The sequence below is a fragment of the Homo sapiens genome, chromosome 4 (assembly GCF_000001405.40).
Source record: "Homo sapiens chromosome 4, GRCh38.p14 Primary Assembly".
Classification (NCBI taxonomy): Eukaryota; Metazoa; Chordata; class Mammalia; order Primates; family Hominidae; genus Homo; species Homo sapiens.
The window spans coordinates 100250437-100263468 of NC_000004.12; positions in this window are offsets into that span (position 1 = coordinate 100250437).

Here is a 13032-nt window from a genome sequence, read left to right on the forward strand (position 1 = left end):
ATGAGATTTGGGTGGGGACACAGAGCCAAACCATATTATTCTACCCCTGGCCCCTTCCAAATCTCATGTCTTTTCACATTTCAAAACCAATCATGCTTTCCTAACAGTCCCCCAAATCTTAACTCTTTACAGCATTAACTCAAAAGTCCACAGTCTGACATCTCATCGGAGACAAGCTAAGTCCCTTCTGCCTGTGAGCCTGTAAAATCAAAAGCAAGTTTGTCACTTCCAAGATACAATGGAGATATAGGCATTGGATAAATGTTCCCATTACAAATGGGAGAAATGGGCCAAAACAAAGGGGCTACAGGCCCCATACAAGTCTGAAACCCAGCAGGGCAGTCATTAAATCTTAAAGCTCTGAAAATAATCTCCTTTGACTCCATGTATAACATCCAGGGCATGCTGAGGCAAGGGGTGGTTCCCATGACTTTGGGAACAGTGCTTTAGGAGAAACCAAGAAAGCTTGAGTTAAATATCCAAATCTTTGTTGTCCCCCACATCCAATTAATGACATCTATCTCTGTGGCTGTCTATATATTTATTAATCAATAATTCTATAAACATTTGAAATTGCTTAAAACCAGAGTGTAAATTACAAAATAATAACATCAAAATACAAAATAAAGGTGAGGTAATTATAAATAAAGAGAAAATAAGTTGTAAGGAGTGGTTTAACATGTATACATGACTATGAAACTGAATCTGTGCCGGGTAGAAGAATCCGCACTGCTATTGCTTTAGTTAGACAGGCTATGATGGATGATCAAAGACATGACAATTTCATGGATTCCTCTATAACTGGAGGAAAACACAATGCTGTGGTTTAAATATTTGTTCCCTGCAAAACTCATGTTGAAACTTAATCCTCAATATGACAATATTGAGAGGTGGGGCCTTTAGAAGTGATTGGATCATGAGGCCTCTGCTCTCATAAAAGGATTAATCTATTCATGGATTAATGAGTTAGTGGATTAATGGTTTATGAGAGTGGGACAGGTGCCTTTATAAGAAGAGAAAGAGACTTGAGTTTGCAAGCTCAGTTCTCTTGTTATGTGATGCTCTGCACTACCTTGGGACTCTGCAGAGAGTTCCCACCAGCAAGAAGGCTCTTACCAGATACAGCCCCTTGACCTTGGACTTCTCAGCCTTCATAACTGTAAAAAACAAGTTTGTTTTAAAAACAAATTTCAAGTATTCTGTTATAAGCAATGGAAAACAGCCTAAGGCACTCAATAAATGTTGTATGCCCGGAAGTGACAGTGATAGTTAAATTGGTTTTGAAACTAGGTTTACATGACACCAATGCTAACAATTTGGTCTATTCTCTTTTTATTTTTACCAGCACAATGTCAAGTTAGTTGGCTTGCTGAATTCTTTCAACGAAATGTTTTTGTTTTCTGTAAATCCATTCTGTGATGTTTGCATGGGCTAATGAAAAGGCATGATCTATAGGACATGCTTTTTTTTTTTTTTCCTTTTGGCCATGTTAGCACAGTTGTTTGAAACCTCTCATCATTATGAGAAAGTCATCCATTATAGGCCACAGTTCGTAGCTTGTTCTCTCCATGATGGCCCTGAGTAAAGGCAGCAGCTCTAAGTAGATTCTGATGTTAATAATTCAAATCTATTGTCAATTTTCTATTCTTTCTCTCCTATTTATGCCTATGTGGGGACTAGCCTGTACTTTCTCAGCTGTAGGCTACCAGAGGAGAGCAACAAGCTGTCATCCATTTCTACTTGCCTGACTTTGGCTTAGTGAGCAGGGGATTTTACTCTTCTTTTCACTAAAGGTGTGAACTTGGATTTCTTTTTCAATCAAATGAGAAGATAAAACCAGATGATATTCAAACTACAATCATGTCTAGTTTGTGAAGATATAAGTAATTTTTTCAGGAATATAACAAAACAGCAGGAAAATTTCACAATAAGAAATGTCATACAGAATGGGTAAGAACTAGATAGTCAAAGAGGCAGAGATCCTCACCCACTGGCATGGTCCAGGGGTCTTGAGTCAGGCAGGGGATGCTTGTTAAGCAATGAACAATAGGTAGGATTTAGGAAGTTAAAATAGAAGAAGAAAAACGTTCATGTCTCCTTGCATAAATAAATGTAACTTGTTTTTTTCTAGAGATAGGGTTTCACTCTGTCATCCAGGCTGGAGTGTAGTGGCGTCATCATAGCTCACTGCAGCCTTGAACTCCTTGGCTTAAGCAATTCTCCTGCCTCAGCCTCCCCAGTAGCTAGGACTACAGATACACACCACAATACCCAGCTTAAACGTAACTTTTACTTTGTGGAGAAGCTGGCTGGAGAGGAAGAATTTGTTCTTTTTCCTTTTAGAAGCCTTTTGTCATTCTAAGAATTCCATGGTCTTTAGAAACATGTATTTTTCCAGAAGACCACTTATTAAAGAGGATTAGCTTGAAAAGAGGATTTTGTCCTTTTTAAAATATTTTTATAATTCTCAAATAAAAGTATTGTTTCAAAAATTATTTTATTTAGTAACCCTGAATTTAAACGTATATTGTTGCTGTTGCTATCTTTGAGGGCTCTAATAACCACTTCTGCTTGGGGGTTCATGTCATAAAAATGGTCATTTAATGAGAATCAGAAAGTTCCACTGGCTAAGGAGCAGTTTAGTGAGCTTAATTCCAGTTATTGTTCTAAGCATATATACACAAATTTTTGCAAATAAATAGGTTAATGCTATATATTTTATTTTATTTATTTATTTTGAGATGGAGTCTCACTCTGTTGCCCAGGCTGGAGTATAGTGGCATGATCTCGGCTCACTGCAACCTCTGCCTCCCAGGTTCAAGTGATTATTCTGCCTCAGCCTCCTGAGTAGCTGGGATTACAGGCACATGCCACCATGCCCAGTTAATTTTTTTTTTTTTTTGCATTTTTAGTAGAGACAGGGTTTCACCGTGTTGTCCAGGTTGGTCTCGAACTCCTGACCTCGTGCTCCACCCACCTCAGCCTCCCAAAGTGCTGGGATTACAGGCATGAGCTACGTCACCTAGCCAGGTTAATGCTATTTATATATGGTCTAGTGACACATCTATTTCACTCAGCAATATAATAGAATTTTTTTTCTTCCTAAAACACGCATAGCTCTCTATTTGTTGAAAAATTTTTATTGAACTATAACATGCACAAAAAATTGCTTAAATCTTGAGTGTAAAACTTGATGCATCTTACAAGGTGAACATATACATGTAACCAGCATCAAGGAAGAGAACATTATCAGCATTCCAGAAATTCTGCTAATCTCTCTTTCCGTTCAGTAACTGGCTATCCCATACCATGGCTAGTCACTATCTTGCCCTTTTACTTTTACACTGTAGATTAATTTTTCCCACTTTGAACATTATCCAAAATGCAATCATATAGTATGTACACTTTTATATCTGGCACTTTCTTTGTTGTTCAACATTATGTTTGTGAGATTCATCCATATTCTTGCATGCTATTAAACTTCAGTTCAACAAAAGTTAACATTAAAAGAACAAAAATACAACACACAAAGTAGTAGAAGATATTTCCAATCCATATACCTAACAAATGATTTATATTTAGATAGGAAAAGAACTCTTATAAATTAAAAAGACAGATAACCTTATAGAAAATTAAGCAAAAATACCTGAATTGGTACTTCACAATAGAGGATACTCAAATGACAAGAAATCATGTAAAGTGCTTAACTTTATTAGTCATTAGGGAAATGAAAATTAAAAACACAATGTGATACTACTGCTACTGCAAAGGCTGGGACAATTACAATGAAAAAGACAAAAAATAGCAAGTGTTAGCATGGATGTGGAGCAAGTGGAACTCATACATTGCTGGTGGGAGAGTAATTTTGTACAACACTTTGCAAACTGTCTGTTAGTTTGGGTCTTCTGAGAAGTAGACACCAAAATGGAAGTAGACATGCAAGAGATTTATTGTGGAGTAAAGGGAAGGAGCATGAGCAGGGTGGGAGGGCCTCCAAGCCATAGTGCTGGTCTGACACCTGCAGAAGGAGGAAGGAGGACTGGTAAGAAGAGTCTCCAACTGCCGAGCAGATCTAAGAAAGTTTTAGCTAGGAAAATTAAGAGTTCTTGAAACAAAGTTGTCAATTAGGTGAAACCCATGTCCCACAGGAATGGGTTTGTTCTACTACTTAACTTCATGCTCAGTCATTGTCTAGAGGCAGTTTGGGGAAAATGTGGCCTTGGTGCAATCAGACACAAATCCAGAAGGGCAGAAGCTGGGAGTGTCAGTCACCTGTGCTCCCACAGCACAGCATCTGAGCAGCCCATTCCCATGGCTGCCATGGGAAGTTGATATTAAATCTGAACATCCATGCTCCATGATCCAATCATTCCACCCCTCCATAAATACCCACAGAAATAGGTACATATATTCATCAAAACACATGTACAAGAATGTTCACAACAGTGAACATTTGTCGTAACCGAGATCTGGAAACCATCCTAGTGCTGACCAACAGTAGAATGGATAAATAGTACTATAATTAAACAATGAATTCTATACAATAATGAGAATGAAGCTATTTCTTTCTAAAAACACTAGCATAGTTTTTAATAGTATGGGTATACCATAATTTATTTAACCATTTCTCTATTGATGATGATTATGTTTAATTTTTCCTTGTTACAGATAATCTTGCAGTGAATATTGCTGAAGGATAAATACCTAAACATGGCACTGCTGAGTCAAATGATATGCACATTTAATGTTTTTATGGGTATCTAATGTATTACACTTTTGTAATGTAATTTTCAAAAGAATCTGAAAATGTCATCTTTTTCACCCCCTCTGGCAGTGACAAATGGCACACTCAAATTGGAAGCTTTAAAAGGGCTCTTCCACAGGTGTGTGCTGGGTGTAGGGTAGCCACAAGGGATGGTGCAAAGCCTTGAGGCTTGGAAAAGTGGAAGAGGGCAGGTGAGTAAAAACTCTAGCCTCCTTCTGATGAGCTGCTATTGCTTCTCTTTGGTAAAATCCATAGAGAAGTCAGAGGGTAAGAGAGTTCACTGAGGGAGTCCATACAGATCATTCTCCCAGGGAACTGTGCAGTTGGGTGGAGAAGAGTGGGTCATGATCTGGAGGACTAGAAAACATCTAGCTTACACCTTAACAACTGGTTATTATCAGTCTTAAGGTTTTGCCCATTTCATAGGTAAAATATGCTATATTGTTTTAATTTTCATGTCTTGTATATTTACTAGTAAGTTTGAGAATTTTTATTTTCTTTTTTTTGAGTTACATGTTTATATTTTTTACCTTTGCTTTTTCCTTATGGATTTGAAGACACTCTGTGTGTGTTAGGTAAGTTAGCTTTTGTCCACTTCCATATTAGAATATTTTCTTCAATTTGCTGTTTGTCCTTTAACATATTTACAGCAACTTTGTCAAACAGAATTAAAGTCTATACAGTCTTGTTCACATTTTTTTTTTTCCTTTATGGCTTCTGGGTTTCTTGTCTTTCTTGGAAAGGCATTCTATTCCTTCTAGTTATATTTTCTGTACATTTTCTTCTAGTGCTTTTTGAGCTTTTTTATATTTAAAACTTTAAGCAACCTGAGATTTATTTTAATATTTGGAATGAGGTGAGGCTCTAACCTTATTTTCTTCCATATGAATATAGTTTCTCAATATCATTGATTAAATAATTCATTATTTTTCCTCTAATTTGAAGTGCTGCTTTGATTATACATAAACTATTCATGTACATATGAATCTGCTTCTGGGCTGTACTCTTTTCCTTTAATCTATTTGTTAATTTCTGCATCAATATTATGCATCTATAAGTACTTTAACTTTTAAGTATCTTTTATTATTGTAAAGAAGGGACTTTTATTTTTTTATAATATTTGAGTTTTCTCTTTTGTAATTACTTTTAAAGAACTATTTAGACTATCTCTTTAGCCCATTTTATTCATTTGTTAAAGTTTTGTGGTTTTCTTCTTGTAAGTTTGCACATTTCCTTTTTTATTTCTTAGGTAGTTATTTTATAAATTTTGCTACTATTGGTTTTTTTCTAACTGGGTATTCTTGGTATAAAGGAAAGCTTTGGTCTTTTGAAATATTAATTTGGCTTGTTAGTAAATTCTGTTATTTCTAATTGCTTCTAGTTGATCCATAACCTTTTGAATATTTCCTCTAGCACACAACTGCACGTGGCTCTCTCAAGTTTTGGTGCAACCCAAATTCTCAACTTACTTATCTGCTCTTCCAAGATCTGCTTCTGGTGCAAGGGACAACTGTGGCATAATGGCAAGAGCACTAAATATGGTCAAAGGAGACATAGGTTGAATACCGTCTTGTGTATAACATTAGCTAGAATTGAATTCAGCTGCAAGTGTTCGAAAACCACCAAAATAAGAGTGGTTTTATTATGTAAGATCTTATTCTTGCTACGAAAGAAGTCTTAATGCACGAGTGGGCTGGTAAGGTGCTTTATGAAGTTGTTTCTGACATCCCTAGGACAAGACCCTCATCCTTATGTCCCAAGAAAGTGTTTGTGCACCAGTGATTATGTCCGATTCCAGGCCAGCAGTAGGAAGAGAAGGTGGAAAAGCCTATGAAGGGCCCACCATTAAGGCCATTTATCTTGAATCATCCATAATCCTTTCACTTACAGATTATTTGACAAACCTACTCACATGCCTATGCCTAGCAGGAAAAGAGTCTGGGTAAAGTAGTTGTTAGAAACTAAAACTGTTTAAGTGAGCAAGTAGATAATGTATACTGGGGTGTTTATTACTTAGGAAGAATGGATAGAGAGAGAGTTAGCAGTCTGTTGAGTCACTAAATACATATGTGAACATGCGCCAATTCAATTTTTTTCCATAAAGAAAAAAAGCATTTCTTATGATTATGAAATAATACACCACCATTAGGAAGAATTCAAACAAATCGGAACATTTGAAGACAAGGATAACAAGTAACTGAAATCTTACAAGTCAGAGATACATTTCTATTAGTAAATATTTCTTCGTGTACCTCTTTGTACACACACCACATACTTTACAGAAATGGCATTATTTTACACATTGCTTGCTTTCTCTAAACCTGCTGGGGATGTTTTGTCTCAGGATAATTGCATTTATGATTGCTTCTATCTGGAATGTCCTCTCTCTAGATACAGGTATGGTTATCTCCCTCCCTTTCTGAGTATGGCTAGCTACTTAACTTCATTAGTGTGGCCAGCTTCCTCACTTCCTCGGTACAGCTAGCTCCTTCACTTCCTCACAGAGGTGGCTTCTCCTTTTCTTCCTCAGTGTGACCAGGCCCCTCCCTGACTCAGCAAGGCTATCTCCTCACATTGTCATGTTGCTAGCTCCCTCCCTTCCTAGGTGTAGCTAGCTCTGTCACTTCCTCATGTGAACAGCCCCTTGCCTCACTGACTCATGTGGCTAGCTCCCTGCTTCCTTGAGGTTTTTGCTGAAATGTCATTCATTCAGTGACACCTCCCTGATGCCAGCTCCATTTATAATTGCATTCCTCCCCCCTTTTCATATTTTATTTTAATTTTCTTCATAGAATTGATCACCTTCATATATATATGAAATACATATATATAAATAAATATATATACATATATATATATGAAATAGTTATTTTGCTTGTTTTCTGTTCTCCCGAGACAATAGAAGTTCCACAAAAGTAGGGATTTTGTCTTTCTTGTCCACTGTTTATCCAGTGCATAATATAGGGCCCAGAACCTAGTAAGCACTCAATAAATCCTTATCAAATGATTGCATTCACTGTATTTCACAACACCTGATCACATCAATTAGTTGTGAAGATTAAATGAGATAACATAGATGACACTTAGCACAAGAGAGGAGGCAGAGGCTTAAAAGAGTTGAAGCTGCTGTTACTTCTATTTAGACTTTTTGTGCCTCTACCAGAGCACTATTTTATCTTTAAACTGTTTATTCATGTGCCTATCTCTTCCACCAGCCCCAAGAACTCTGAGGGTCAAAACTGCTATTATTTGTTTTTGCATCATTAGTATTGACAATAGCCTAGTATACAGTAGGTGCTTTATAAATTTGAATTGACTTGAGACATTTCTGATTATTCCTAAATCAGCAGACTGCCATATTTCCTAATTTAAAATGTTTCCCTTCCTTTCTCCATGCTGAAATATTTATGAAACGATTTGGTACTTCAGAGGAAATCAGGTTTTAGCACAGCTGAGTCTATCTTCTCTCTTTAGTCAATAGTTCTGTTGAAAGCTCATTTAAATAAATGCACTAGAGACAGAGTTTTGAATAGGAAGAGTATTTCAGCTTTGTGAAATGTCCAGATGGAATAAGAATTAGATGCTTTTGTTATTTCTGCCACTTTGGTTAATGAAGCTGTCCCTTTTATAATATAATTAGAGCATGAACAATTCTCTGACCAAATATAAAATGACACACATAGGCTCTTGTTACTGAGTGTCTCTCTGAAGGATCACAAGAAATCATTCAAACACATGACTTGACATACTAGGGTAAATCCAGCCAATTAGGAAAATGTAATTAGAAAAAGTAATTTCATGCGAGAAATCTTAATTCTTCCTGAAGATACACAGCGTCCCTTTTATATCAAATCACTGGTTATTTTTTTTAAGGTCTAGAGGGAGCTGTTGCATAAACATGTTTTTGTTTACCCTCGGTGAGGCATTTTAAGACTATGGTAAAATTTATATTTCTAAATACAAAGTTGGAATTTGAAGAGAAAAAAAGTTGTGACTATAGTGATCTCCTTGAGATTGACGACAAAATTAATCTTTCAAATTCAGTAGAGTAACTCTTGATAGTGCAAGACAAGTCAAGAAAAAAGCATGCAGCTCCAAAGAGAAACAATCCAGCTCTTCTTTGTGGTCTATTAGGTCAGATATTTTTGTATTAGACAAGACATTCTCCCATCTACCTTGTAGAAATTGGTATTATACATAATGTGTCAACTCCACAACACTGGCTTGCTTCACATTTTCATTGCCTGATTCTTTCTTCTATCTATCTGCCCGATTCCCCACATCTTCTGGAACAAAACTTTTTCTTTAGGACTTGTTAAAGTGTGTACATCTTTCTTAGCTGAACATGTCTATATATAGTCAAGAAAATTGACTTAACCAAATTGAAACATCTTGGGGTTTAACTGAGCCACAAAGATTTCCTCCATCAGACTGAATGGTTTGAGATCCATATTGATCATTTATACCTACTGTAGTCAAAATATGATGACTTTAAAAAAAAACTATGCAACACATATTTTTGGTTTAGGCAGAGATATATGCTATAACTTTAGGCTTCTTTTAATTACTAAAGCAAGATGAATACATTGGCTAAATTATGTTTGAATTTGTAAAATGTGTGAGCTTTCAGCTTTGCGGGACTTTGACACTGTATTTCGTGCTGTTTATTACACGAAGCCAATATCCTAATGTCATTTTTCTTCCAACACTTCCTCTGCTCCCATTCAAAGATGTCAGGCACCTTTGCAATGCCAGGCATCTTGTAGTGAGCTTAGTTGAAAGAGCTTGAGCTTTAGCATCTGAGAGAACCGAATTCGCATCTCCACTCTGTCATTTATTAGCTCTGTGGCCTTTGTCCACCTCTTAATCTGAGTCTTATAAAACACAGCCAGTAACACCTGTTTTACAGGATGAATATAAGGGAAAAAGACATTTAGATTGCTTGGTTTTTATAAATGGTAGAGGCTAAATAAATGGTAGCTATTATTTTTCTTTATCACATTGTTTTATAAAATTTTACTATTTTGCTGGGGAAATTCTAGTAGATGCTATTTCATTTGAATAAAACAAAAAGTAAGATGCTTTTTGAAAGAGGCAAAGCTCTTTCAACTAAGCTCACTACATCTCAAAGGTACCTGGTATCTTTGAATGAAAGCTGAGGAAGTGTTGGAAGAAAAATGACATTAGGATATTGACTTCTTACAAACAGCATGAAGTACAGTGTCAAAGTCCCACAAACCTGATTTTGTAATTCATAGCAGGCTTTCTTAGAGCCATCTCAAGTATTCTGAAATCATTATTGGCTATATTCACCCTTGTCACTGAATAAAGGCTACTTAACTTTCATGTGATGATTTTGCATTCTCTATCTATGGATTAACATGGATGTTATTTTCAAGGTTGTTCAGAGTTGCCTGTCACATGTGGTCAAACCACTTGCGTATATTTTATAAAAGAAATATTTTGAGCCATTTATCAGCTTGAGAAAAGGGAGATATGAGAGCAAATATGTATTTGGGAATCAGTAATCCTGAAGAACAGAATGACTAGATTGTTTTAATGGTTGATGTGTAGGATGGAAAAGGATATTTATCAAAACTTGAGTAAATGTGAGGTTCACTGCACATAGGAGCAAAATAGTAGGGGTGGGAATGGTAAAAATACGTAGTGTTTTTAAGAACAGGAAACCAAACACTGCATGTTCTCACTCATAAGTGGGACTTGAACAATGAGAACATATGGACACAAGGAGGGGAACATCATACACTGGCGCCTGTCAGGGGATCGGGGGCTAGGGGAGAGGTAGAGTTAGGAGAAATACCTAGTGTAGATGACAGGTTGATGGGTGCAGCAAACCACCATGGCACGTGTATACCTATGTAACAAACCTGCACATTCTGCACATGTACCCCAGAGCTTAAAGTATAATAATAATACTACTACTAAAATCCTCCCCTGTGGAAAAAAATATAGTGTTTTTTTCAGACTTCATTTGGTCAGGCTTTGGGAGGAAGTAAACAGATTGAAAACCAAGTTTGCTTATCAACAGACTAGTCAAGATAAATTACGCAAAAATGAGAAAAGACACTCTGCTTCATTCTGCTAGATTTGAAGTGAAAACTTTACAGAGACACAATGCTGACAAAGAATGAGCTTTAATTAAGGCTGGATTATTTGTGTGAATGTGTGTGGTATTTTTCCCTCGAGGATTTCTTCTTTAGGGGCATAGCCATCCATCTGAGTTATTTTTTGATTGGATTTTGCGTAATTCCCCCATTCACTTCAGCAGTGATATTACTGATGCACTGGCAATGATTTCTAAAAGCCCTTTCTGGCATATACTATGACCTCACTGGTATTCAATTCAAACACAAGAAGCCAGAAGAGAAGAAAATTCCTATCTTAAAGGCAAAATGACTGCAAAATCTAGAATGTTAAGTATTGAATGCAATGACTGATGGTTTTAATTTTGTTGTATAAAAGTATGAAGGGTATCAAACATTTTTGTTGAAACAATGTGCTAAAACTTACCAAAGCCTCACATCTGATTATGTTCAGTTTCAAGTATTTTAACCAACAGCCAAAAGGAGTCAAGACAAGATGGGGTCACAGTGGAAGGTTCCTGTGTTAGAGAGATTTCCTCTTTTGAAGCAGGGCTCTGGTGGGGCAGTGAGGGAGGAGAGTAGCTCTGGCACACTGATGCAGCATATGTAGCCAACCAGAGGGAGAAAAACAGAAAAGTCACATCCTAAAAGAGATGCAAAGGACCCATTGAGAGAACATTTTTAGGAAACAGGAAAGACAAGGAAAGTTTAAAACAAAAAAATAAACATGTTAAGGAAGCAGAGGGAGCCAAACAGCTTAAGTGGTCTGGGAGGAGTGTGGAGATGGAGCGTTAATCCCTGCAATGTCTCTTATGCTTCCAGCACATTGGCAAGGACAAATTATGCTTTTTGAAAGACCCAGGAGGGGTGATCAGAATCACATAGTAGATCCCAGCTCTGACTGTGGGCAGCCACCAACAAACTAACGATATGACCTGGGACTAGTAATTTATCTCTAGAAGGAGGGGGTCCAATTAAATAATCACTGAAGGCCTATTCGGGTATTGCTGTTGTTGTTAATATTAATTCTAATTAATGGATGACACAGAACTGGTATGACTGGAAAGAAAACTTAGGAACTATAGTAGAAAAAGGTCAAAGGCAAAATCTGCTTGTATGATTCTCAGATATTCAGACTTTAGAATATGAAGGAGAACACCAGACAGAGGGCTTTCTCTCTTCTCTGAAGTCCTTCTCTGTCAGGAGCACCTTTATTTATTTATTTAATTATACTTTAAGTTCTGGGGTACAGGTGCAGAATTTGCAGGTTTGCTGCATAGGTATGCACACGCCATGGTGGTTTGCTGCACCCATCAACCCATCATCTACATCAGGTATTTCTCCTAATACTATCCCTCCCCTAGCCCCCCACCCCCTGACAGGCCCTGGTGCGTGAAGTTCCCCTTCCTGTGTCCATGTGTTCTCATTGTTCAACTCCCACTTATGAGTGAGAAAACACGGTGCTTGGTTTTCTGTTCCTGTGTTAGTTTGCTGAGAATGATAGTTTCCAGCTTCATCCATGTCCCTGCAAAGCACATGAACTCATCCTTTTTTATGGCTGCATAGTATTCCATGGTGTATATATGTCACATTTTCTTTATCCAGTCTATCATTGATGGGCATTTGGGTTGGTTCCAAGTCTTTGTTATTGTGAACAGCGCTGCAATAAACATACCTGTGCATGTGTCTTTATAGCAGAATGATTTACAATCCTTTGGGTATATATCCAGTAATGGGATTGCTGGGTCAAATGGTATTTCTGTTTCTAGATCCTTGAGGAATTGCCATACTGTCTTCCACAATGGTTGAACTAATTTACACTCCCACCAACAGTGTGAAAGCATTCCTATTTCTCCACATCCTCTCCAGCATCTGTTGTTTCCTGACTTTTTAATCATCACCACTCTAACTGGTGTGAGATAATGTCTCATTGTGGTTTTGTTTGCATTTCTCTAATGACCAGTGGTGATGAGCATTTTTTCATATGTTTGTTGGCTGCATAAATGTCTTCTTTTGAGAAGTGTCTGTTCATATCCTTCACCCACTTTCTGATGGGGTTGTTTATTTCCTGTAAATTTGTTTAAGTTCTTTGTAGATTCTGGATATTAGCGCTTTGTCAGATGGATAGATTGCAAAAATTTTCTCTCATTCTGTAGGTTGCCT